General features: G+C 41.0%; 1 protein-coding gene across 4 annotated transcripts in view, besides 1 other annotated feature; it reads right to left on the bottom strand.

Moving 5' to 3' along the window:
* Window positions 1-14,416, bottom strand: part of MARCO (macrophage receptor with collagenous structure) — a 52,467-nt gene extending 38,051 nt beyond the window's left edge. For all 4 annotated transcript variants that reach the window (NM_006770.4, XM_011512082.3, XM_011512083.4 and 1 more), the window contains exon 1: window positions 14,213-14,416. In NM_006770.4, the coding sequence (NP_006761.1) occupies window positions 14,213-14,309 (97 nt within the window). In that variant the 5' untranslated portion in view covers window positions 14,310-14,416. The remainder of the gene's footprint in view (window positions 1-14,212) is intronic.
* Window positions 1,519-2,718: an enhancer, noted in NCBI's record as "CDK7 strongly-dependent group 2 enhancer chr2:119711468-119712667 (GRCh37/hg19 assembly coordinates)". NCBI's record gives its function as "activates an origin of replication core promoter dependent on BRD2, BRD4, P300/CBP, MED14 and CDK7 cofactors, with strong dependence on CDK7, by STARR-seq in HCT116 cells {active_cell/tissue: HCT116}" and the evidence as "EXISTENCE:reporter gene assay evidence [ECO:0000049][PMID:35650434]".
* Window positions 14,417-25,278: the final 10,862 nt, after the last annotated feature.

The raw sequence follows: 25,278 nt of genomic DNA, 5'->3' as shown, positions 1-25,278 counted from the left end.
GTTTCTTTGTTGACTTTCTGTCTTGATGACCCTCCTGTGCTGTCAGTGGAGTATTGAAGTACCTCACTATTATTGTGTTGCTGTCTATCTCATTTCTTAGGTCTATTAGTAATTGTTTTATAAATTTGAGAGCTCCAGTGTTAGGTGCATAAATGTTTGGGATTGTGATATCTTCCTGTTGGACAAGGACTTTTACCATTACATAATGTCCCTTTTTGTCTCTTTTAACCTCTGTTACTTTAAAGATTGTTTTGTCTGATATAAGAATATCTACCCCTGCTCACTTTTGGTGTCCATTTGCATGAAATGCCTTTCTCCACCCCTTTATTTTAAGTTTATGTGAGTCCTTATGTGTTAGGTGAGTCTCCTGAAGTTAGCAGGTAGTTGGTTGTTGAGTTCTTATCCATTCTGCAGTTCTGTATCTTTTAAGTGGAGCATTTAGGCCATTTATATTTAATGCTAGTATTGAAATGTGAGGTACCATTGCATTCATCATGCTTTTTGTTGCCTGTACTTTGTTTCATTTTGGTTTTTTGATTTTGCTTTTTAACTTATATTTTTGTTTTATAGGTCCTGTGTGATATATGACTTAAAGAGATTCTGTTTTGATGTATTTCTGGGATTTGTTTCAAGATTTAAACAGATTTAAACAGTTCAAGTTTTTAGCAGTTCTTGTTGTGGTGGCTTGGCCATGGTGAATTATCTCAGCATTTGCTTGGCAGAAAATGACTGTGTCTTTCCTTCATATATGATGCTTAGTTTTGCTGGATACAAAATTCTTGGCTGATAATTGTTTTGCTTGAGGAGGCAGAAGATAGGGCCCCAATCCCTTCTAGCTTGTAGGGTTTCTGCTGAGAAATCTGCTGTTAATCTGATAGGTTTTCCTTTATAGGTTACCTTGTGCTTCTGTCTCACAGCTCTTAAGACTCTTTCCTTCATCTTAACTTTAGATAACCTGATGACAATGTGTCTAGGGGAAGATCTTTTTGCAACGAATTTCCCAGGTCTTCTTTGTGCTTCTTGTGTTTCCATGTCTAAGTCTCTGGGAAGGCCAGGAAAGTTTTCCTTGATTATTCCCCCAAGTATGTTTTCCAAGCTTTTACAATTGTCTTTTTCCTCAGGAACATCAATTATTCTTAGGTGTGGTTGTTTACCATAATTCCAGACTTCTTGGAGGTTTGTTCATATTTTTTTACTCTTTTTTCTTTGTCTTTGTTGGATTGGGTTAATTCAAAGACCTTGTCTTTGAGCTCTGCATTTCTTTCTTCTACTTATCCAATTCTATCACTGAGACTTTCCAGAGCATTTCACATCTCTAAAAGTGTGTCCAAAGTTTCCTGAATTTTTATTGTTTTTTTATTTAAACTATCTATTTTCTTGAGTATTTCTCCCTTCACTTCTCATATAATTTTTTAGATTTCCTTGCATTGGGCTTCACCTTTCCCTGGTCCCTCCCTGATTAACTTAATAACTAACCTCCTGAATTTTTTTTCAGGTAAATCAGGGATTTCTTCTTGGCTTGGATCCATTGCTGGTGAACTAGTGTGATTTTTTTTTTTTCTATTTTTGGCAGGGCGGGGGTTGAGGGTGTGGTGTTGATGAGCCTTGTTTCGTCATATTACCAGGGTTGGTTTTCTAGTTCCTTCTCATTTGGGTAGGTTCTGTTAGAGGGAAGTCTAGGGCTGAAGATTGCTGTTCAGATTTTTTTGTCCCACGGGGTGTTCCCTTGATGTAGTATTCTTCCTGTTTTCCTGTGGATGTGGCTTCCTGTGAGTCAAACTGCAGTGATTTTTGTCTCTCTTCTGGGTCTAGTCACCCAGCAACTTTACCCAGCTCCAGGCTGGTACTGGGGGTTGTCTGCACAAAGTCCTCTCATGTGAACCAACTAACGGCCTCTTAGCTGTGGATACCAGCACCTGTTCCAGCGGACGCAGCAGAGGGTGCAGTGGACTCTGTGAGGGTCCTTAGCTTTGGTGGTTTAATGCTCTATTTTTGTGCTGGTTGGCCTGCCAGGAGGTAGCAATTTCCAGAAAGCATCAGCTGTAGTAGTGTGGAGGGGGACTGGCAGTGGGTGTGGCCCTAGAACTCCCAATATCACATGTCTTTTGTCTTCTGCCACCAGGGCAGGTAGGGAAGGACCATCAGGTCCAGGGGTGGGACTAGGCATGTATGATCTCAGAGTCTCCTTCGGCAGGTCTTGCTGCAGCTGCCGTGGGGGATAGGGGTGAGATTCCCAGGTCACTGGAGTTGTGTACCTAGAAGGATTATGGCTGCCTCTGCTGAGTCATGCAGGTTGTCAGGGAAGTGGGGGAAAGCTGGCAGTCACAGGCCTCACCCAGCTCCCACACAAACCAAAGGGCCAGTCTTACTCCCACTGTGCCCCCAGCAACAGCCCCAAGTGTGTTTCCAGGGGGAGGGGGAGACAGCCTTGAAAACTTGCCTGAGGCTTTCTCTGCCTCCCAGCTGCCAAAGACAAGGGCTTTAGATCTTCTCCTGCCTGTGAAGTCTGCAAGCTGGATTCGCACCCTCCCCTGAGTTCTGGTCAGGAGGCTTCTCACCCTGTTCAAATTGTTACAAAGTTCAGCTAGAGAATCCTTTCTCCCTGTGGAGTTTTGCCCCTGCTCCTCTGGCCACCTTCCTGATGGATTCCTGTGGTGCCAGCCAGGAGTGGGCTGCTTGGGGACCCAGCAAGCTCCCAGGGCCTTTCTGCTGCTTCCCCCACCCCTGTATTTCACTTGGCTCAGCTCTCTAACTTGATCAGCTCCAGGTAAAGTCAGAAACTTCTCCTGCAAACAGACCTTCATCTTCTCCAGTGAGGGTGTGTGTTCAGGAGACGAGGGTCTCCCTTTTCCACTTACACGGCTGGGGCACTCGCAGTATTTGGGGTGTCTACTGGGTCCTTCAGGAGCAGTCCACTTCCTTCAGAGGGTCTGTGGATCCTCTCAGGATTGCTGGTTTGTTCTTGCAGTTGATATGGAGCTAAAATTCACAATGCAAGCCTCTGCATGCTGCTCTGTCTGGAGCAGAAATCTAGTCCCGCCTCTCATCCACCATCGTTCCCCCCACCTCCAGAAAACTTTTCGAATGAATAAATAAATTCACATAGTTGGAAGACACAAGATGAACACACAAAAATCAACCACATTTCTATATACTAACAATAAATGGAAACCAAATTAAAAGCATAATAGAACTGACAATCACACCAAATGTAGAAAGTAAAAAGTTTCCTCTTCAAAGTTTTCCTTCTTGTTGAAGAATAAATTGTGTGTTGGAAATGATGGTTTCTTTTGAGGACTAACTTTCTTCAAGCCTCCTTGCTTTGTGTTAATAACTCTTTGTTAAGCCCTAGCCTATGTAACTGTTGAATGTGCTCACAGGCCCGTTCCAGCTCACAGCCTATGCCCCTTCCTTATTTGGAAATGTTATTGTTTCCTTAAAACTTTTGTAACCAACTTCTTTGCTCTTCCCTGTACTTACCTATTTAGGAAAGTTGTAGGCTATTAGCAAATCGGATATCAGTTTAAGATTGTGAGGTCCTGCTCCAGCCAACGGACATAGGACACGCAGCAAGGACAACCCAAATGTGTAAGGGATAAATATGTCTGCTTTTCCTTTGTTCAAGTGTTCTCCTGCCATTGTTCCATCTGCAATTGAGCACCCTTTCTGCAGAAAGTAAAGATGGCCTTGCTGAGAGATCTTTTGTCTCTGTGCTGACTTTCCTTTGTGGCACCAATGATGTATTTCTAACAATTTTGATATTTCTAACAATTTTGGTGGCAATCGTATGGGGATACATTCTCCTCCGGGGGCATCTCTAGTCCTCTTTCATGAGGAGGCACCACACCACCTCTTGCGGTGGCCTCAGGGGTAAGGGACCAAGACCCACCTGGTGCGAGGAATAACCCGAGCTCTCAGCAATGCAGAAAGAAACTGGCCAGCAACCTAGCTTAAAGGATCCTCACATACTGCAGCGATGACTTTGTGCACAGACCAAGGAAGGCAAAGCCACAGGAGCCGGTAAAGTACTTCCTTGGTCATGAAATTCTGGAGGGCTAAATGTACATGTGCGTGAATGATCACAGATAACCCTGCTTGCGGTGTTGTTTGTGTGGATGGTGACAAGTCCTACTGCTGGATGGAGTGAGTGGGTCCTCTCTGCGGTTCCATAGCTACCTCATATGGCTTAGGGCGGATCCTGCCATGGGATTTATACCTGCACGCCAACACTAAAAGGGGCCTAATTCTCCCTTGGGGGAGCGGCCAGAGAGGACAACACAAGTGGGAAGTGTGCAAGGGACCTTCAGAGAGGGGAAGGGAGAAACCAGGTCAACCTCCCAGGGCAGGCAAGGCAAGACACCCACTGGTTTGAGGGGTTGAGCCTTCCAGGACAGGCAAGGCAAGACATCCCTGGTTTGAGGGGTTGAACCTTCTGCAAATTTCAGGTGGTTGAACCTCACACAAACCTCCGGTAGTAAGAAAAATATTCAGAACTCCCCTGAAAGAGGTAAGAAAGGGGTAAGAAAGAGGCTAAGCTCCACTCCTGCTGGTTGCTCCCCTAGGGGAAGGGGAAGGAGAAGGGAGAGCAGCAACATAAGTGGCTGGCAGAGGCAGGGAAAGACCAGCAGAGAGGAGAGAGAAACTGGGAGAGGAAATAAGGGAGAGAAAGAGAGAGAGGCGGAGAGACAAAGAGGGAGTCAAAGAGAAAGAGGAAGAAAGAGAGAGAGAGAGATGGAGAATCAGAGAGTGAGAGAAAGAGACAGAGAGATAAAGAGGTAGTAAAAGAGAGAGAGAGACAGAGTCAAGGAAGAGAGAGAAAGAGAGAGATGGAAGTAGTAAAGAGAAAACTGTACCCTAGTCATTTAAAAGCCAGGGTAAATTTAAAACTTGTAATTGATAATTGAAAGTCTTCTTCATGACCCTATAACACTCCAATACCACCTTGTTGTCAGTGTAAACAGGGGCGTAGCCCGAAAGCACTGAGGCCACTGACAACCTGAAGCCTTTCTAATAAAAAATCCTTAACCCAGTAACCCGTAGATGGCCCAAATGCATTCAATCTGTAGCAGCAACTGCTTTGCTAAGAGAGCAAAGTAGAAAAATAACTTTTAGAGGAAACCTCATTGTGAGCACACCTCATCAGGCCAGAACTAACCTAAGTCAAACAAACAAACAACAAAACCCAAAAGCTAAAAGGTAGCTCACTGACTCAAGAACCTTAAGGTATGCGGCTATTCTGTTAGAAAAAGTGATTTAACGTTAGCCACTGAAAATTCCCTTAACTCAGTAGGTTTCCTAACGGGGATCTAAATCTTAGTTACCATAGAAAGGTCCCACCAGACCTAGGAGGAACTCCCTTCAGGACAGGATGATTGACGGTTCCTCCTTGGTGACAGGATGATAGATGGTTCCTCCCAGGTGATTGAGAGAAAAGGACACAATGGGTATTCAGTAAGTGATAAGGAAACTCTTGTAGAAGCAGAGTTAGGAAAATTGCCTAATAATTGGTCTGCTCAAAGGTGGGAGCTGTTTGCACTCAGCCAAGCCTTAAAATACTTACAGATTCAGGAAGGAGTCATCTATAGCAATTCTAAGTTAAATTTGGACTAAATTAGGTCTTATTAATAGCAAAGGATAATTGAAATCCCAAACTTACAAGGTTTTCAACAAAAGTAAAATTTGCTAAATATTAACAGTGTCATATGTATTATCCTAACTTCTAATCTTGTGGCCTTTAACAGTCCAGTCCACAGACATGAAGGAAGTTCACTTTGGAAAAGAATGGCTATCATCTTTGAGGAAAAAAAAAGGGGGGAGGGGAGAATTTATGTAAAAAGGAATGTTATATGGTAAATTCTTGTCCTAAAATAAATTAACTGGTTGTTTAAAGAAAGCGATGTTAGCAACAACTCAGAAAGTTGAGGCATGTCGAAGAATTGTCTGTAAAAGTTGTGAAAAACAAAATTATAAAAGGGAATTTATGCAAGAAATGTTGTATAACTTAAAAGTAATTAGGCCTCCTGAATGTAAAACTATTGAAGAAACAGTTTATATGCAAGGTATGTAAGGAAAGCAAAATAAACTTTTGGTAAAAGGATTATAAGGAGGCATAAGAATGTGGATTTCTACCTACATTAAAAGGTTAAAAAAATTTTGTTTTGAAGGTTTAAGCAAGTTTTGAAACTTTAATTGTAAAGGAAATTCTGTGTGTAAACATATTGGCTAAAGTTAAAGGGGTGTCATCCAGTTTTTCTGTGAACTGGATATTAAAATAAAAGAACAACAGGTTTTTCTTAAAACACTAACCTGCTCTTTAACAAAAAATTATAAAAGGTTAAAAACAGTCTATAAAAATCTTACCTTATGGTCAGACATTAAAATTGGATACATATGTCAACAAGGTTTTATTAAAATTAAATTTAACATTAATGACACACTCATATAAAGGTAAAATTTAGCTTTTCTAGTATAAAATCATATACGAAGCACTGTCAAATATAAAATGGTGTTTGGCTTTCTTTGGTCTAAAAACTAATAAAAATCGGTGCTAAAGAAAATTTATCAGCAAGAAGGCACAAAGGACTATAAAGTCCACTGTTGATGTACCCACGTTTAAAACAAAAGATCAATTTCTTAGAAATTATATACTTGGTTTATCCTCCACCTTCTCTTCCCTTGAAACAAAAGGTCTTTTAGCACAGATGCCGCCCTTGGAGTTTCCAGTACATCAGCATCAGCCTGGGGATCACATTCTCATCAAAGGATAGAAAGAAGGGAAACTCGGGCCAGCCTTGGAAGGACCGTACCTTGTGCTGCTAACCATCGAGACTGCTGTTCGTACAGCGGAAAGGGATGGACACATGACACCTGAGTCAAGCAAGTGCCATTATCCTCAGAATCATGGGCCATTGTTCCTGGGTCAAGCCCTACCAAATTAAAGCTAAGGAAAGCTTAGTCTATCTTTTTCCTTTCCTTTCCTAACCCAGTGCTTAAATCCATTACTATTCCTACCACCAGCAACTCTAACCCCACTGTAGGGCACTTCTGTGGTTTAGGAGCAGAAGTCACTGGAAAGGATCCTATAGGCTTCTTTAAGGTGCACTTTGTTCTCCCTCCTCTACCTCCTACAACTGCACCTTTCCCAAACCTACAAAATCAAACTATGACTCGCCTCATGCCAAATGACAAAAGCAAGGTCTCAGTAGTAGAAATAGGAGACCTATGGCAAACCATAGCCATTGAAACAGGGTATAAAGATGTAAATGCCTGGTTAAAATAGATTAAATATTCTGTTTGCACTTTAAACAAAAGTGACTGCTACTCTTGTGTGCAAGGTAGGCCAGAGGCCCACGTTGTTGCCTTTCCACTAGCATGGTCCTCAAATCAAGGGGACATGGAGTGCATGGTAGCTCTTTTTCAAGATTCCACCCCCTGGAATAAAGAATTGTGCCAAGCTCTTTTTCTGCTATTTCCTGAAGTTCAACACCCTGCGGATCAGCCTGCGAGGGCCATCCAGCCTCCATCTTCCAAAACCAATTTTACCTCATATATCCAATGACAAGGGGAAAAATCTGGCATTCCTTGGAGACTTAACAGGATGCAGTGAAGTCAGTCACTTCCAAGAGCTGACCCATCAGTCCACCCTTATTCATACACCTGCCCTTAGCGGATGTATGGTGGTATTATGGAGGACCATTACTGGACACTCTGCCAAATAATTGGAGCAATACTTTTGCTCTAGTTCAATTGCCTATCCCTTTTACTCTAGTATTTCATCAACAAGAAACAAACAAACAAACAAACAAACATAGCTTCAATTCTTACCTCTTCAACAACTATAATAAGTATACTCCTTCTTCTTAAGTATTATGTTGTACCATACATCCAAGAGTTAATCAAAACAACTAAGCCAAGACATGTTAAGCAAGTTTGAAGAGGAAAACTAAAAAGTAAAAGAGGAGGGATTGTAGAAAGTAAAAATTTCCTCTTCAAAGTTTTCCTTCTTGTTGAAGAATAAATTGTGAGTGTTGGAAATGATGGTTTCTTTTGAGGAATAACTTTCTTCAAGCCTCTTGCTTTGCGTTAATAACTCTTTGTTAAGCCCTAGCCTATGTAACTGCTGAACATGCTCACAGGCACGTTCCAGCTCACACCCTATGCTCCTTCCTTATTTGGAAATGTTATTGCTTCCTTAAACCTTTTGTAAGCAATTTCTTTGTTCTTCCCTGTACTTAACTATTAGGAAAGTTGTAGGCTATTAGCAAATCGGGTATCAGTTTAAGATTGTGAGGTCCTGCTCCAGCCAATAGATGCAGGACACAGCAGTAAGGATGAACCAAATGTGTAAGGGATAAATATGTCTGCTTTTCTTTTGTTCAGGTGTGGTCTTGCCATTGTTCCATCTGTAATTGAGCACCCTTTCTGCAGAAAGTAAAGATGGCCTTGCTGAGAGATCTTTTGTCTCTGTGCTAACTTTTCTTCCTGGCACCAATTATCTATTTCTAACAATTTTGGTATTTCTAACACCAAAGAAAATGGAATATTTAGATATAAATCTAATAAAACATGTACAGGATCTGTATGCTGAAATTTTTTTAAAAATTTAGTTAAAAGAACCAAAGACCTAAGTAAATGGAGAGATGTGCATGGATTGTAAGTCTGCAATAATAAAGATATCAATTCTCTCTACATTTATCTATAGGTGTAACACAATGCCTATCAAAATTTCAGCAAGATCTTTTTGTAACCGTAGACAAGCTGACACTTAAATTTATATGGAAAGGCAAAAACCCTAGAATAGCTAAAGCAGTTTTGAAAAGAAGACTAAAATTTGAGGAATAACTCTATTTGATAATAACGCTTACAATATAACTATAGTAATCAAAGCACTGTGGTATTGGTAGAGGGATAGTCACATAGATCACTGGAATAGAATAAAGAATGCAGAATGAGATGCACACAAATTTACCCAAGTTGTTTTTGACAAAGGTGTAAAAGCAATTCAACAGGGAAAGGATAGCCTTTCAACAAATGGTGCTGGAATGACTATGTATCCATGGTCAACAAAATGAAACATATGAAAACCTTGGCCTACACATTATACGTTATACGAGAATCAATTCAAAATGGATCACGGGCAGGCATGGTGGTATGAGCCTCTAGTCCCAGCTACTTGGGAGGCTGAAGTGGGAAGATCACATGAGCCCATGAGTTTGAGGCTGCAATGCACTATGATCACACCTGTGAATAGCCACTGCACACTCCAACTTGGGCAACATAGTGAGATCTTGTCTCTAACATATAAAAATAAAAATAATGTAAAACTACAAAAATTTTAGAATAAGATAGAGAAGAAAATCTTCACCAACAAGGGCTAAAGAACTCTTAGACTTGACACCGAAAGCATAATACATACATGGAAAAATTGTTAGGTTGGACCTTGTCAGAATTAAAAACTTTTGCATTGTAAAAGATGCTGATATGAACATAACAATGCAAGTTACAGACTCGGAGAAAATATGTGCAAACCACATATCTAGCAAAGGACTTATATATAGAATATATAAAGAACTCTTAAAACCAAACCATAAAAAATAAAAGATCCAATTAAAACATGGGCAAAAGACACAAAGAGACATTTCACTGAAGAGGCTATACATATGGTATTTAAGCACATGAGAAGATAGTCAACATTACTGGCCATTAGGAAAATGTAAATTAAATCTACAATGAAATATCAGTATACATCTACGAGAATGGCTACATTTAAAAATAGTGATAATGTCAAATGTTGACGAGGTTGCAGAAAACTGGATCAGTTGTACATTGCTGCTGGGAATGTAAAATGGTATAGTCACACTGGAAAATATATCGACTACTTCTTGTAAAACCAAACACACTTAGAATCCAGCAATTACACTTTTGGACATTTACCTTGGAGAAATGAGAACTTAAAGTCACACAAAACACTTACAGAAATGGTCATGGCAACTTTATTTGTAATAGCCCCCAAACTGAAAACAACCCAAATGTCCTTCAGTGGGTGAATGTTAAACAATCTTTGATATATTCATATCATGGAATGCTACTCAATAAGAAGAGCCAACTATGGATGGATACAACTTGGATGGGTTTCAAAGGAATTACACTATGTGAAAAAAAAATCAATCTTAAAGAAGTCACATACTGTGTAATTTCTTTATGTAACATTCCCAAAATGGCAAAATTATAGAGATGGGAAGCAGATTAGTGGTTGCCAGGGGTTGATGACTGCTGGTGGGGGAGTGAGGGGTATGTGGGGTTATTTAAGCATAGAATTGGTACAACTATATATGTACACAGAGACGAGTGCATGTAAAACTAATGAATAAGCTCTATGGATTGCACCAATATCAGTTTCCTGGTTGTAATTTTGTATTAATGCAGTGTAAGATGTTACCACTGGGGGAGAATGAGACAAGAGTCAGAAAAGCTTCTCTGTACATTTTTTGCAATTTTCTCTGACTCTATAACTACTTCACCATAAAAAGTTAAGACTAAACTCTGCAATAAAGCCAGATGTTTAAAAGATGTTGAGAAATATTGGCATGATGAAGAGCAAAGTCAGAACAATGACATGAAATAATAGCAGTCGTGTTGCAAGACTGAGCCTGAACGGACTTGAGGGTTTGGGTTTTGTTGAAGGTTGCTCTAGAGTATGTTAAGGGTGGGAAGAAAGGATGGTTAGGCTCACTACTGAGAGACAATAGTTAGTGTTAATTAAAACAAACAACAATAAAAACCCTAACTTTTCTACCTGTATTTTGTTTCAAACTTCTCTCTCAAGAAGAATGTTCTTCAGACTGAAGTTGGTGGGAAGCCTGAAGTAGTTGAGAGATTGGAGTAAGAGGTCCCAACAGGGCCAGGTAGGTGGCTCATGCCTGTAATTCCAGCACTTTGGGAGGCCAAGGGGGGCGGATCACTTGAGGTCAGGAGTTGGACACCAGCTTGGCCAACATGGTGAAACCCCGTCTCTACTAAAAATATAAAAGTTAGCCGGGCATGGTGGTGGGCACCTGTAATCCCAGCTACTAGGGAGACTGAGTCAGGAGAATCACTTGAACCCGGGAGATGGAGGTTGCACTGAGCCGAGATCGCTCCCCTGCACTCCAGCATGGGTGACAGAGCGAGACTCCATCTCAAAAAAGAAAAAAAAAAAAAAAAAAAGAAACAAGAGGTTCCGACAGATCACATTGCACAGCCTAACAAGTGCTTGTCTTGTTAGGCTGTGGTAACAGTAGTCTTCCTTGAGAAACCAGACGGCCAGGAGTGTGACAGGAAGCCTAAAGCCAGACACAGATTGCTAATTTTCAAAAAGGTAGAAACAGACACATCCCAGAAAGATATTGCCAACAGGTAAATCCTCTCGTTCAAGCCCAAATGTTCCATTGTTGAGGTGGATGATGGGGCAAAAGAGCAGTTTCTATGGCTCTGAGGAGAGACCTGGGATTCTGTGAGACCCTGAGGGCCACAGAAGCCAACCCTATGTCAAGTCCCCTCAGGAAACTAAAGCAGTCTTTGTGGTGGTTATTCATCCATGGATACATATATCAAATCATCACGTGTACATCATAAATATATACAGTTTGTATTGTTAATCACACTCCTAAAAAGCTAGAATAAAAAATAAAGAAAAGAAAGAGTACCTTAATTCTAGTGCAGATAATGGAATGAAGGAGGCTTGTTCTAATGAGGGAGGCTGGAGGTGATGGCAGGAAAGAGGGATGCAAGTTGCACTGTGCTTCTAGAGGGTACAGTGTGAAATTTACACTCCTCATCCTTTTTTTAAGATTAATTTTAGAAAAAATGAAGGTTATATTCCAAAAGTTTCCCAAACTCACTTCTAAAATTTTCTTCAGCATGTGTTGAAAACTTTCCTAGTCCAGTATCCTTGGGTAATAATAATAAAAAAAAACTAGTTTAATACTTTATAATCAGGGAAAAACAGCATTTTATATTTCAATACCAACAATAGAGAAAAATAAATGAGGAAAATGACATTAGAAATATTTTTCAGTGCTGTTTTTCATGAACCATATGTGGGAATTTTAAGATAATGTATTTTCAAAAGAAAATAAAACTATATATGGCCTAAATAAATAAATCTTCAGCAGACAAAAAATAAGTAATGTGCAGAGCCGGCCCTGAGGGGTCACTGTGTTACCAGAGCCTCACAGTGATTACCTGCATAATGGCACTCTTCTAGAAAGTTTCATATGTTCCACAATCTTTGTATTAGAAGGCAGGATGTTGTGAATGCATATAAGAAAATGTTTCTTTCATCCAAATTGGAGTAGTTTTGGTTTTTTGGTGAGATACTTTAAACATTTTATTTATTTATTTATTGGTGGAGATAGGGTCTCACTATGTTGCCCAGGTTGGTCTCAAATTCCTGGGCTCAAGGAATCCTCCTGCACTGGCTTAGTTACATTTTTAATTGGTGACACACACAACCCAGGTCAGAAATCTAGGGTTCACTATTAACTCCTGCGTCTTCCTCCCCAGCCCTGTCCTGCCATTGCAGTCCAATTGATCTGATTTCCGGTGTTTCTCCAGAGCATTCCTTTATTTTCCTGCCTTCCATCCACTGCCCCTCATCATCTCTTGCTGCCAAGTTCCTCTCTGTCCTCAGCTTCTCTCTCCAGCCATCCCTATGTAGGACAAAGAGCAACCTCACATGCACATTAGTGCCTTTCAGCCCCACATCGGCCCCTTCCTGCTTCCCCACTGACCTCAGGATGAAGTCAAATTTTTTGGTTCCAGCCTCAGTCCCCACTGGTCTTTCCGTCCCAATTTTGGCCAAACAGTATGGAAGTATTTATATTTCTCTGAATATTTCTTGTGAATACAATACAAACATGTGGCGCCCACCCCGCCCCAGGCACTAACTTCTTTCTCTAACGGACTCCCTTTATCCTTTAAACTTTGGAAGAGGTGTCAGCTCTGCCCTCCAGGGCTCTACACCTGGTTAGATCTGTCCATCATGTCCTGTGGAAGTCTCAGTCACAACATGGAAATTGTCAGTTCATGGGCAGCTTACCCTGTCCCCTGTCCCCTCGTGCCAGAAGCCAGAGGCCAGAGGCTATGTTTATTCAAGCCTGTTTCCTCAGTGCTGAGTGCAGTGCCCTGCTGGAAATAGGTGCTGAGTATGCTTGATCAGCTGACTTTGCTTGAACATCTTCAGTCTCTTAAACAGTCATGTATCCAGAATGTTGCATTCTGAGAAGTTCTAAATAGCCAATGATTATTATAGCCATTAGCACTCACACCTTTCTCTGTTATTACACTGTAAATTCCTAGAGGCAGAGCCCCAGACGCTTCATCTTTGTGCGCTGAAAATTCCAGGCAGGGACCTGGGCAGACAGGTGTGGGATGAGAAGGACACTCTGGCCAGGAGATAAAGCCACCAATTTTCCTGCATAGACAACTTCCAGCAAAGCCTGGGAGTGGAAATGACTGATCAACTTGGAAGATGATCCCAAGAGAACGTTCTAGACTAGGAAATCAGAGCTCATTTGTGGAATGCAAGCCCACCCATGACTTCAAATGCTACAAATTCTAGAAGATTTTAAAAATGCATCACCTGTTGAATGCTGAGTGAGAAAATAAAGACAACAGAGTTGACTGAATATTACAGACCTGAGTTTAACCTAAGACAAACTAATTATGAAGCTATGAACATATTTCAGTCAACATGAAATACAGAATATGTTTCCTGACCAGCACATCAGTTATAACAGAAATCCCCTTAAAGAATTTTAAAGAAGCTGTGTTTTGAAAACTGTCATGCTTGGCTTCAGTTTTGTGGTCCCCTTTCAGTGCCCCTGTTTTGCGTTTTCATTGTATCACCCAACCTGTGTGTCAGAATAAGACATTCATTAAAAAAAGGGGACATTTAATAAGCATTGGCATTTTTTCAAGGGAAAATATTTAAATATGATTAAAACAATAGTGAAGCTAAGAAAAACCTGACTATATGCTAAAAATACAGCATCTATTATTAGCATTCCAGAAATTCCAAATTGAAGCACTCCAGACAGTATTAGTGATGATTACGTGCAAAATGCAGCAATAAGCCAAACCTAGACTTTCTATTGACTTGTCTATTTTCGTATCTCGCTAGCAGAAAGACTACATTTCTGGTCATTTCCATTATTGGGGAATCGTACTTTACCATTGATTTCGAAAGGCTCCATTGCAATTTGGTGAAAAGCAGCTTGTTGGGTCTCACTCAAGAGCTCGTCCTCCTTGAGAATTTTCTTATTTCTCATTGCCAAGCTTTATAGATGGCCAAAGTCCTGGAGCCAGCAGAAATGCTCCCCTCAAGAGGAACCACTTGGAGAAAGATCCTTCCCATCGAACCACTGCAGCTGGTTGTAAACCTCGCAGCACTTCCCTTTGGCTCTGATTTCAGAATTTGCAGGATGTTTCCTGACATGATCAGGATTGGACATTTCTCAAACACGGGCTATTCACATGTGGATCTCCCACACAGTGCTGCTGCTTGTTAAGGGGGATCGAGGAGGCTTTGGGACACAAGTTACGGGCCTCTGAATGCACCCGTCACTCCCAGGTCCCTGAGACCCAAAAGCTGGATGGCTCCAGAGAGGGCCAACCAAGCCCTGCCATGGGCCCAGACTCAGCTCTCTGTCCCAGGACCTCTCCAGCCCACAGTGAAATCTCCCTTCTCTGACCTGCCTCAACCTTTAGAGTTCATCCTTGCTGCTCAAAGTGTGGTCCATGGACCAGCAGTATTAGTATCACCTGAGAACTTGTTAGAAATGCAAGTTCACTTGTTCTAACAATGAGTCTCTGGTCCCACCCCATCAGATCAAATCCAAATCTACAGTTTAACTAGATCCCCAGGTGATTTATATACACATTACAGTTTGAGAAGCCTTGCTCTGAACCACACATTTTAGCACTTAGTATTTCTTCTTGTAGTTTTCCCATGTTCTCTCTCTGTGTGTGTACACATGTGTGCACATGTGTACATGTGTTACAGGTGTCCTTGTCCAGGCCCCAGTGAGATCTGAGCTCCTTAAGGAAAGTAGCTTCTCCCCTCTCTCCCTCCCGTCAGGCATCTCTACCAGGGATGCTGTATAGCATGGTGGTTAAGACACAGACACTAAGAGCTAGAATGCCTGGCTTCAAATTCCACCTCTTCCACATAGGGGCTGTCTGGCAGTAGGCAAATCACTTGAGCTTTGAGCATCTCACTCTTCTGTTTGTATAAATAAGGAAGATATGAATTTCGTGAGCCTTAAATGAATTAAATCATATAAGGTGGCTAGGATGGAAGTATTAGGTAATAAACACTATGGTCATGTTGTTGTTATTATCATTAGAGACATTGTGAGCCTGCTGGGCACCGAGGAGATGAAGAAATGGCCTTTTTTCATGAAAGATATTCACAGTCTACCATGCAAGATGGTTGCGGCTACAACTACATTCCAGAAAATTGCTGTGAAGTGCGGCAAAGGTTGATGTCCCTGAAAAGACAGAAGTGCCGGGAGGCAGGGGAGACAGGGCAGAAATATGACAAATAGCTTTATCATCTGAATCAAGAGATATCAGATACCAGAGCTGGGCTTAAAAGGATAATGGGGGATTGATCCAGATCAAGATGAGGCAAAGGCCCTCCAGGGAGGAAGGAGGGCAGGTGCAGCCTCTCAGAGGTGGGACAGCCTGGAGCAGGGGAGCCGTAGACTTTTGGCCTATTTGAAATGTAAGAGGTGAGGAAGACAGGTGGCAGGAAGTGAAGCTGTGCCAGGCGAAGTCACTTTCTTTGGCCCGTGGTATGTCAGAAAGTGAAAGGGGATGAAACTCAGGAAAGTGAGCTCCTAGCAGTGCCCTGAAAAGCAGAGGTCCCCCGTGGCGCCCACAATTTCAACATTCAGGAAGTCACTGGTTCCGCCAGAGGACAAGCAGCAGAAGCCAGGACAGAAAAATTTAAAGAGGAAAATTGGAAATGAGGAAGTGATGGCTCCAGCTAGAGTCTGGGGGGTAGACAGGACCAGATAATTGAGGACACAGGGGATTTGCCCACTGGAGGGCAGTCCCCTAGGCAAAGGAACCCGCTCACTTAGCCTGGCAGAGCTCCCTGCTCTCCCTCTGCCTCTGCCTGGTCAGCTCATCTTTGATTCTCATGGGTGTGGGGAGGGGACTTATTAGAAAATGTCATGGGCTAATTATTGAGGATCCCTGTTCTTAAAGGAAGCACTTAGTGGATGTCAAGTGTAGTCACTTCACCTCTGGCTAGAGACCAGAGAGACTTGGGTCCCAAATTCAACTCTTTCATTAACTTTCTGTGTGACCTTGGTTGACTTACTTCTCTGAACTTCCACACAGAGTAATGGCTTGTGCAAGCATTAATTCCTATCCAGGATTTACTGTTAATGCCAGACACTGTGCTAAACATTTGCATACATTGCTCAACACTCATAACTTGCAACTTGCCTTAAATTGTGTGGTTATAAAGAGCTACACCAGAATTTGAATCCAGACTCTCTGCCTCAATCTATAGACTGATTTAATTCTGGTTTAATCCAGGGGTTCCAATCCAGAGGTTTGCAGTAGAGGAATGCCAGTTTCCCATCCCAAACCTGAGGCTCTGGTTTTAATAAAAATTTCAGAAAGAGCTCTAATGTGCACCAGGCTTAGGACCACCGAGTGGTATAATTGAAGCACTCATGTGCAGTGTGGCCTCCTGACTCCATCCTAGGAGGATCCATTAGGTTGAATCATATGGAATGACAGATATTTATCTGTTTTTCATATGCAATAAATGGATACTTTATATGACTCAAGCTAATCCATTCACCTTGCAGGGCCTGAGACTCAGGGATTAGGATGAAGCAAATAATTCACTAGCCTTGAGTACAAAAGATTCAATAATCAAGATAAATAATATTTTAGTGCAATATATTTAAAAAATCAAAGTTAATGCAAAAATTCTGCGATGAACAAAATATCATCATTTTAAAGGAAGACAGAATCCCACTTTGCACGTACAATGACCCTCCTCATTTGCTTACCCTAGTCCTGGCCCTCTCATTAGCTCTGTGTTTCAGCATCCCCATTACAAAATGGGATGCCCAGAGTTGCCGTGTTTACCCATAGAGTGGATGTGTGGATCAAATAAAATAATAAATGAGTAAGTACATTTGTAAACAAAAGTTCTATATGCAGAATAGCATTTTATATCAAAAGAGCGTGTCATACGAAACTCCTGCACTGTCAATGAATCCCTTAAAAATCCTTTAAATCTTCTATAAATACAAAACACACAATTTAGGAAATATGGTACAGTCTCTTCTGAAGTCTTACTCAGACACTTTTATCTCCAGGAACACAGATCCAGCAGTTTCTTCCCAGGTGAAGTTGCATTTGGAGACAAGTTGTCCAAGAAATGCAGGGTCTGGCTTTATTTGTCTAGCAGCATGCATATAATTGGATTGGAGTATTTAAATGTGCATTTGGGGAGGGCTCAATGCCCAATGTAGTTACATCAAGTTCTGATATTCTCTGAAGTGATGGTCAAGTGGCTCCCAGTGCTTTATCACACAGGAGTGGTGGGGCTGGAGTTCCAGGCAAGTGTGACCACTCTTGATGGTCTCCATGGAGCTTGATTTCCTATCAGCTGGTGGGTTCCAAATTAGTTCAGTCAGTGGGCTGCCTGGCAGATCACCAAGAAGAACCCTTGAGCAACCCAATTCCAGCTTAAAACTGGGGCAACCAAGTTAACGCATGATATAAAAATTACCGGCACAAACCCATGTGTCCGAAACCAACCAACCAATCCACAGCAGACAGGTGAACCGAGCCTTGGGGACCTCTCTGGAGTCCCTTCCACACATCTGCTCAGTCATCTGCCTATGCCCACCAGCGGAAGGGATGGAGAGACTGGACTGAAGGGAATGTATCAGAGAGAAACATTTAAAAGTTCTATCTATTGACTTCATTTTTCCTGCCAGTTGTGAGTGCCCAGGCTTACGTAAGTTCCTGGTAGTTAATGAAGCTCAAGAAGTGTTGATCATTTAAAAATTAGAGAAAATTAACAACACAAATGACCGTGAACAGGCGAATGAATTGTGTCCTATCTATGCAATGGAATACTAGTCTGCAGTAAAATGAAATATGCCACATGAATGAATCTCAGAACCCATTATGCTGAGCAAAAGAAGCTAGACTTCAGACAGGACATACGGTATGATCCCATTTATACAGGCTTCTAGAACAAGCAAAACTCATTCAAAGGGTCAGCAAACAGAGCCATTGGGTCCTGGGGTGGGAGTAAGGGGGACTCTACCAGAGTGGAGCACAAAGGAAACTTCTAAGGAAATGAAAGTTTTCTGTATCTTGTTTGGGGTGTTAGTTACAAAAGTCACTAAACTTTACACTTGAAGTATGTGCATTTTATGGCATGTAAATCATGCCTCAATAAAGTTAATTAAAACAGAAGTTAAAGGACAAAAAGGAATTATTGTTGTTGAACCTTGGCCCAACTCACAGAGGTTTGTCTTTTGAGAGCTATTGGAATGAGGTGACAGTGCCAGCCTCCCAGTAACAGGTGTGGACTGGCCACCCACACTTTTTCTTGCCTGATGAGGATCCTTACACATGCTAGTGTGGCAGGTCAATTCTCCCTGACAACCACACAGACAAGCAGGCATGACCGTCACACAGACAGGCCTGCATAGCACCCTAGTTACACAGACAAATTTCCACAGAGCTGCCTTAACATTGAGCAAATAGTTAAGCCTAGGGAAATAATGCCTAGACATCAAAGCTAGAAATGAAACATGGTCAGTAGGAGCCTTGCATAGTCTTCTCCCTAACCTAGAGCAAACAAAATAATAGAGACAGTCTTACATTCCTAGTGCCAGCACTTCGTCTCAGGTTGACAAAATTTTAGATGAGTAAAGGTAACAGAGGCAGTGTTTGAATAGATTCATTGGAGAGCCTAAGGTAGCTCTCTGGACCAAGCTGTAAAGGAGATAACATAGAAATAATCACTCCGGTACCACAGTAGACAGGCCTTGAAGGTACTGGGGCCCTTTTCGTTGGACTTAGCAAGCATTTTTTGCCTCTGACCTTATAGCTGAAACAAAATTAGTTACCAATAGACTTAAGTGAATGCGATACTGCATGTAGGCACATAACACCAACTATATGAGCACTAAGAAAATGGTAACACTCTGGGTTTGTCTGGTGGAATTATCTCTGGCCTTCTCCCTGAATCCGGTTACAGCAATAAATTCCCTTCTTTCCCAGTTTGTCTGCTTCTCATTATTGGGCCTTGAGAAAACGTAGCCAGACCCAGCTTGGTTCTGGGAACACTGGGATTGCAGAATCCGGACTGCAAACTCCGCCGTGAGTACAGAGGAAAGAAAAGAGAAGCAAACTGGTCTCCTATGAGACTCTTCCACTGACTCAGCACTCCCAATTCAGGAACCATAAAGGGCAGAGGCTGGAAAAGCAGCAGCTTTCTTGGTCTGATTTCAGGAACACAAGTTCTCCTGACCCCAGACACCATGCCCTGCCTTCCTGACACCTGCAATGTTTTCACGGGGGACCAAACCTTATATTCCCTTAATCAGAAATGAGATGTAAACATACATCCCCTCTAGGAGAGGAAACAGAGACATACACTGAAGTGTAAATGAGCAATATTATTCTTTTCCAGAGCAGGTTTGGGGGATTGGAGGAAATAGGGGCACAGGAGAGAGTGGGAGCACCCAGGCCCTAGAAGCTCTGCACAGGAGAGTGCTATAAATGCATGGAAAGAAAAGCAAGAGCCACTAATAAAACTTTACAGGTTTCACAGTTGTACCAAGGATCACCCGTGGTAATTTGCATTGACCTGAAACCATTTTGCCTCTCCAATCCTGGACTGAGAGCAAATGGGTGGAATAGAGAAGCCAGGAATTCAATTAGAGCTGCTGGGGAGGTGGTAGTCATTCCTTATTCATTCATTCAACGGATATATAATGAGTGCCTACTATGTTCCAAGCTCTGTGCTAGTAAGAAAAGAAAACAGAACCTTGCCCTTACCAATGAGCTTGCAATTCACCCTCCCTTAGTCATGTACTCACGGGTTGTGCCCTATCTTGTCATTTTTAGTAGCTGTAACTCCTTCCTAATTGTTTATTCATTCCTCTTTCTGGCCATGCCTCCTATCTTTCCAGCTCATTTCTTTAGCACTAACTCCAACAATCTTTTGACTCTAGGACCTCTTATCTATTATTCTGCTACTCTGCCACTGCCCATCATCTACTTCATGTCCTCTCTTCCCTACTTAACCAGCTTAAATTTATGGTTACTCACCCCCTTGCACACATCCTTAACTCCCTTATCCCTTTTTTGCTTCATTGTCCTCATTTGACAAAACCCACAACCCTGGTTAGATCCAACTCTCAGTGCAGCTGAGTGTAACTGGAGAAAACAATGTGGCCATGTTGATGGTCTTACTTTAATTTTGTGACGTGAACTGCAAATAAACCCTAATCCTGTCTGGCAATAGCACAGTAGTCTTTATTCAACTCACTCTCCCAAGTAAATCTTTCATACCTGTCTTCTCTTTAATCTTGTCTTTGCTCTCACCTCACTTTCACTGAGGAAATCCAAACAACCAGAAAGAAAATTCTCTGCACCTCCACCATCACCAGTATCTGCACTAAGGCTTCTGCCTGCCTCTCTTTGACACGGATGAACTTTCTAAGTTCCTATCAGGAGCCAGTACTTCAACCTGTGCACTACTTCCATCCCCTCTCTTCTATTCATGAACTTTTTCTCAGTAGCAATTCTTCCTTCAATCTCCTCTACAATATTGATTCTAGTCTCTACTGAAGTATTTCCAACTGCTGAACATTGATACTATTTCTCACATTCTAAAACTCCTACTCTTGACACACTTTCCTACAACTTACTACCTAATTTATTGCTCTCTATTCAAGTAAACTTTCTCAAAAGAATCGTCTATACCCACTGTCTTCAATTTCTCCCCTCCCATGCTCTTTTAGATCAACTCCAGTGGAGTTTTCATTTCCGTCACTCAACCAAACTACTCATGTTAATATGACCAATGAACTCTGCATGGTGACATCCTATGGTCAAAGTCAAGTTTTCATTTTACTTGTCAGAAGCATTTCTTAGGGTTGCTCACTCTCTCCTCCAGGAAGTAATCTCTACATTTTCCTTTAAGACATAACAGTTTCTCGGCTGGGCACAGTGGCTCACGCCTGTAATGCCAGCACTTTGGGAGGCCGAGGTTGGCAGATCACCTGAGGTTGGGTGTTCGAGACCAGCCTGACCAACATAGAGAAACCCCATCTCTACTAAAAATACAAAATCAGCCAGGAGTGGTGATGCATGCCTGTAATCCCAGCTACACAGGAGGCTGAGTCAGGAGAATCACTTGAACCCCAGAGGCGGAGGTTGCAGTGAGCCAAGATCGTGCCATTGCACTGCAGCCTGGGCAACAAGAGTGAAACTCTGTCTCAGAAAAAAAAAAAAAAAAAAGACATAACAGTTTCTTGATAGTGTTCCTATCTTACTGGTCACTCTTGGTTCATTCTGCTCATCCCTTCTCTTTTACTTACCTCTTAATGTTGCAGTGCCCCAGGGTTCTAGCCTTTGTCATCTTTTCCATTCATACATACTTTCTTGGTGATGTTATCTAGTCTCATGGTTTTAAATTCCATGATTTTCAAATTTCTACTTCTGGATTAAACTTCTCTCTTGAACTTCAGATTTCAATTTTTACATATATGTTGCATAGGCATTTCAAACTATATACCAAAACAAAACTCCTGATTTTTCCTCAATCTTAATGGGAATTTCATCCCTCCAGTTGTTTTAGTCAGAAACTTTGATGTCAACCTTGATCTCCTTTATCTCTCTCACTCTCTTTATCCCAACATTCAATGTGTTAGGAAATCCATTGGCTTTACCTTCCAAATATATTCACAATTTGAAATTTCTCACCAGCTCCCTGATACCACTCTGGTACAAGTAACCATGATCTCCCACCTGGATTAATTCAGTAACTTTCTAATTGGTACACATACTTCTGTCCTTGCTACTATACAGTCCATATCCAATATAGCAGCCAGAGGGATCCTTTTAATATATGTCAGGAGTGATGACAGGGAAAATGGTGGAGTAAGAAGCAGCAAGAATCTGTCTCTCTACCTAGACAACAATTATACTGTTAGAAACAGTCTGAAGTGACTATTTTGGAACTCTGGAGTTTATTTTAATGTTTGCATCTTCCAGGGAACAGTTTGGCTGGCAAATTTTATCTACTTTTTATTTATTTCAGCCATCAGTACAGTTATGACTACCCATCTCAAATCCCCAGCTGGCAGCAGGCAGCTGTAGGGACAGCAACCAATGTTTCTTGTATGGCTCACTGGAGCTAGAGTGGGCAATAAGGACCTTGTCCTCCAAATATTAGGGTTCTGTGTTCTGACTATGGATTGCTGTTTCTGATCACTGATGGGGCAGGCATGGGGGCTGTTTGTCATTGTTTTAAACCCCATTAACTGAACAGCTTCCAGGAGACTTAAAAAAACAGTGCCTGTTGTTTTGGACACCAAAAATTGAACAGATTCCAGGATACTTAAAAAAGCAGTACCTGTTGTTTTGGACACCAAAAACATGCATGTGAAGAAATTTATAAAGCCATTGTGCATTCCCAGGGAAACAGGTAGAATCAGATAAAACCTAAAAGACCTTAAGTTTTTATTTAAACTGATTCTCAAGACAGAAACATCCCACCAAAATGCAAAAAAACAAAAGCAACACAAACTTTGAGGAAGGGAGAAAACCCAATTTCCAGAGTTACCATGTTATAAGATTCAAATGTTCATCTCTCAACAACAACAAAATAACAAGACATAGAAAGTATGACTCATTCAAAGGAGCAAAATAAATAAATGGAAAACATATTTGAAGGAGCCCAAATATTGGACTTCCTAGATAAAGACTTTAAAATGACTGTCTTAAAGATGCTCAAAAAACTGAAGGAAGACATGAACAAAGACAGGAAAACAATGCATAGATAAAATGAGAATATCAATGAAGAGGTAGAAAGTATAAAAGAGGGCCAAAAAGAAATTCTGGAGCTGAAAAATATAATCACTGAAATGAAAAAAAAATACATTAGAGGGGTTCAAAAGCAGGTTTGATCAAGCTGAAGAAAGAACCAGCAAACTTGAAGATACAACCATTGAGATTACTGAGTGATGAACAGAAAGAAAAAAAACAAGGAAAAGTGAACATAGCCCCACAGATCCCGTGGGGCATCATCAAACAGAACAACTTACATATTGTGGTAATCTCAGAAGGAGAAAAGAGAGGAAAGGGCAGAAATAATATTTGAAGAATTAATGCCTGATAATGCTCCAAATTTGATGAAAGACATCAATTTACAAATCCAAGAAGCTTGATAAACTAAGAAGTAGGGTAGACTCAAAGAGATGCACAGTGATGCACATTATAATCAAAAGACAAGGAGAGAATCTTAAAAGCAGCAAGAGAGAAGTGACTAATTACATAGAAGGGCTCTCAATGAGATTTCAGCAAGCCAGGCATGGTGGTGTGCACCTGTAGTCCCAGCTATTCAAGAGGCTGAAGCAGGAAAATGACTTGAGCCCAGGAGTTCAAGTACAGCCTAGGCAACATAACAAAACCCATCTCTAAAAAAAAGTTTTCAGCTGATTTCTCATCAGCAATCTAGAAGGCCAGAAGTCAGTGAGTTGATATATTCGAAGTGCTTAAAGAAAAAAAACCTGTCAACTAAGAATTCAATATTCAGCAAAACTGTTCTTAAAAATAAGTGCGAAATTACAATATTCTCAGATAAACAAAAGATGAGTTTGTTACCACTAGACCTTCCCTGCAAGAAATCCTTAAGTGAGTACCTTCAGGGTGAAATGAAAGAAAACTAGACAGTAACTAGAAGCCACATGAAGAAATAAGGATCTCCAGTAAAGGTAAATACAGAGACTATTATAAAAGTTAGTATTACTGTAATTTTGGTCCATAACTACATTTTAAATTTTCTCTGTGATTGAAAGACAAATGCATAAAAATGAATTATTAATCTACATTATTGGGCACACAATTTATAAAGACTTAATCTGTGACATTAATAACAGAAAGAGAATACTGGGCACTATAAAAGCAAAGTTTTTATATGTTACTGAACTTAAGTTGGTATAAATTCAAATTAGACTTTACAACTTTAGTGTATTCAATGTAATCCCTGAAGTGAGAACAAAGAAAATATCTATTGAATTCACACAATAGAAAATAATGATTGAATTCATTAAAAAGAATATGCATTTTAAAGTAAAAATAGACTTTAAACCCAAAAAGGTTATAAGAGGCAGAGAGCATTATATATTAGTAAGAGGTTCAATACAGCAAGAAGATATAACAATTATAAAGATTTACAGACTGCTATGGTTTGAATGTGTCCCTTCCAAAGAAAATGACAAGGGAATCATATTCATCATGTTTCTCCAGAGAGGCATAACCAACAGGAGATATACAAGAGAGGAGATTTATTAGGGGAATTTGCTCATACAATTATGGAGGCTGAGGAAGTCCCATATGCTCCCTTGATATTCCAGAGATTGGCCCAGTCCAAGTCTGAAAGCCTCAGAACCAGGAAGGCTGATGATGTAACTCTTGGTCTTAGGGCAAAGCCCTGAGAACTCAAAGGGCTGCTGGTGTAAGTCCTGGGGTCCTAAGGCCAGAAAGCCTAGAGTTCTGATGTCCAGAGGCAGGAAAAGAGGAGCATTATAGCCCAGAAGACAGAGAGCTAGAATGCTCCCTTCTTCTGCCTTTTTGTTTCATCTGGGCCCCAAGCCATTTGAATGGTGCCTGCCCACATTGGGGAGGACCTTTTTCACTCATTCCACCAACTTGCACACAAATATCCTCTGGAAATGGCTTTATAGACACATCAAAAAGTATACTTTGCTAGTTTGCTAGGTATTCCTTAATTCAGTCAAGTCGACATTCAAAACTAATCATCACAGGAATCAAAAAGTTTCACTACAAAAAAAATCAACTAAACACAAAGAAGGCAGTAATGGAGGAAATGAGGAATGTAAAACTAGAGGTCATATGGAAAACAAATAGCAAAATGGCAGAAGTAAGTCCCTTCTTATCAGTAATTACTTTAAATATAAATGAATTAAATCCTCCAATCAAAAGAGAGAAAAA

This window comes from Homo sapiens, chromosome 2, assembly GCF_000001405.40.
Source record: "Homo sapiens chromosome 2, GRCh38.p14 Primary Assembly".
Lineage (NCBI taxonomy): Eukaryota > Metazoa > Chordata > Mammalia > Primates > Hominidae > Homo > Homo sapiens.
The sequence above is the reverse complement of the archived record's forward strand: the minus strand, read 5'-3'. Positions and strand labels throughout refer to the sequence as shown.